This window comes from Homo sapiens, chromosome 1, assembly GCF_000001405.40.
Source record: "Homo sapiens chromosome 1, GRCh38.p14 Primary Assembly".
Taxonomy (NCBI): Eukaryota; Metazoa; Chordata; class Mammalia; order Primates; family Hominidae; genus Homo; species Homo sapiens.
In genome coordinates, this window is record NC_000001.11 from 179,002,281 (window position 1) to 179,004,816 (window position 2,536).

A 2,536-nucleotide genomic window follows, 5' to 3' on the forward strand; every position below is an offset into this window, starting at 1 on the left:
AAAAATAATTTTTAAAAACCCAGGCATGGTGGCGCATGCCTACAGTCCCAGCTACTCGGGAGGCTGAGGCCTGCTTGAGCCTGGGAAGCCGAGGCTGCAGTGAGCTGTGATCATCCCACTGCACTCCAGCCTGGGTGACAGAGCAATACCCCATCTCCAAAACAAAAACAAAAACAAAAACAAAAAACAGGACCAGCAGGAATAGTCTGCTGTGGATTGGGACCCCTGAATGTTCCAGAGGGATTTAAGTGTGCGGAATTCAGACGTCTTCCCTGTTGTGGCTGGCCTTCCCGCCTCCCCAGCCGTCTGCCCGAATGAGTGCTTACTAATGAGCCAGAGAGCTCTGAGCCGGCCTGTGTAGGGCATCCATGCAGGGCTCCAGGGGCCCCTCTCAGTGAAACAACATGACTGTGAAAACAATCTGCTGCTCTTCTTCTTCACCCTGACCTTGGGTCATTCTGGCGTAAAAGATTACTTTGCTCCCAGCCTCGGGGAAGTTTTTGTACAATTAGCTACAACTCGGCAGAAAGACCCTGCAGAGAGAGCCCTGGGGTCACCAACTCAAGCATGAAAGGACACTGACCCCGTGTGGTCATGTTTGGAGGTGCAGCACGGGGAGAGAGGAAAGGCCCCGGCACGGTCCTTTGGCCAAACGACCCCTGCAGGCCCTCCCTGACCGACCTTGCTCTGTCCCTGCTCACTTCACAAGACCCTGGGGAGAGGACCTGGCCCTATCAGGGCCTGCTGACTCGTTCTCCCCTGGCGAAATGTCCCCACCAGGTGCTCTCAACTCTGGGGTATGACTTCACAGGCCATTTGAGTTCAGATGGGTAAGGCGTGTAGGAAATGAGCTCAAAGGGTAGGATGGATTTTGATGGGGTAAGAAGAGAGTGTTTCTCACTCACCCAAAGCACTGAGCACAGTGTCCCAAACATAATGTGGAGTAAACACGCGCATGCACACGTGCACTTCAGGTGCAGGAGACAGCCTAAGCAGGGGCAGGCAGGCAGGCAGGTATGGAATGTGCATGGAGGGCTGGAGAGTGGAGCTGCTTTTCTGCGGAGATTTCAGGTTAGGTGGAGCACTGAGCTGAATTTTCTAGAAGCTGGATTCCTAAGCCCCAGTTCTGGGCTCTTTCTCTGACCACACAGCTGTGTAGAAGGAAAGGGGCCTGAGTTCTGCCATCTGGGCTAGGAGTCGGTATAGAGCCAGCCAGTTGTAGCATTTCTGATTCCATCTGAATTCCTAACACATCAAAATCAGATTCCATTCTGGACATTCGTTTTTTTGTTGACGCTGTGATTGAGGTCTCATAAAAAGAAGGTGCCATGCCTAGGACAAATGAGGAAGGAGAGGCTCAGAAAAGTTAAATAGCTGTGTCTTAAGTCACAGCCACTCAGTGTGTGAAAAGCCAAGCTGGGGTTTGAACATGATAAAAATACACCATGGCCGCTGGGCTCCAAAGTGCAACCTGCAGCTTCTAAAGGAACTAAAACCTAACTTGTTTCCTTCTCCCCCAGCTCAATCCACTCTCCCCGCTGTAGCAGAGCCATCGCCTCAAGGCAAATTGCATCCCACTGCTCAAAACTGAGCAACTCTTCTCTGGTCTCAGGATAAAAATGGTATGTGTGTCTTGGCTTCACAGACCTCCCTAACCTCACCCCTTGCTCTCGCCACATCACTCGCCATTCTTCCCTCCTGTGACATGGAACTTCAGCCTTGGTTCCATGCCTTGGCCTCCCAAAATGCTGAGATTATAGGCAGTTCCCTAAACAGCCAGCCTCTCAGATGTGGAGGACCTTGATTTGTAAACAAATCACCAGGGGATTTTGATAAAATACAGATTCCAATTCACCAAGCCTGGTTTGGGGGTCCAGGTTCTGAAGCTCTAAGAAGCTCCCAGGTAGTATGAATCTTCCAGGTCCACAGACCACAGGTGAGTAAAGAGGTGCTAAACACACCATGTTCCCCTCACCTTTGACCGCCACCAAACTTCCTTTGATCTGAAACTTTTCTCCTTCCTCCCCAAGGCCCCCTCCTGTATCTTTCACCCGGGTGGTAAGGCTACTTCCTCTCCAGGCCTCAGCTTAGGTGCTGCTGCCTCCCGGAAGTACTCTTAACCCCTTTGAGAATGATTAGGTCATGTCTTATCTGTTAGAGATGCAAATAATCCCAGCACTTTGGGAGGCCAAGGCAGGCAAATCAGCTGAGGTCAGGAGTTTGAATCCAGCCTGGGCAACATGGCAAAACCCCATCTCTACTAAAAATACAAAAATTAGCCAGGCATGGTGATGCACACCTGTAATCCCAACTACTTGGGAGGCTAAGGCACAAGAATCGCTTAAACTTGAGAGGCAGAGGTTGCAGTGAGCAGAGATCGCATCACTGTACTCCAGCCTGAGTGACAGGGCGACACTCTGTCTCAAAAAAAAAAAAAAAAGAAAGAAAGAAAGAAAGAAATGGGTGAAACGGGCCAGGCACAGTGGTTCACACCTGTAATCCCAGCACCTTGGGAGGCCAAGGATCACTTGAGACC

The 2,536-nt window shown here is 50.8% G+C and overlaps 1 annotated feature.

Annotated features, from left to right (window-relative positions):
- Positions 656-755: a silencer, noted in NCBI's record as "silent region_1582". NCBI's record gives its function as "represses an Ori minimal core promoter by ATAC-STARR-seq in GM12878 lymphoblastoid cells {active_cell/tissue: GM12878}" and the evidence as "EXISTENCE:reporter gene assay evidence [ECO:0000049][PMID:35858748]".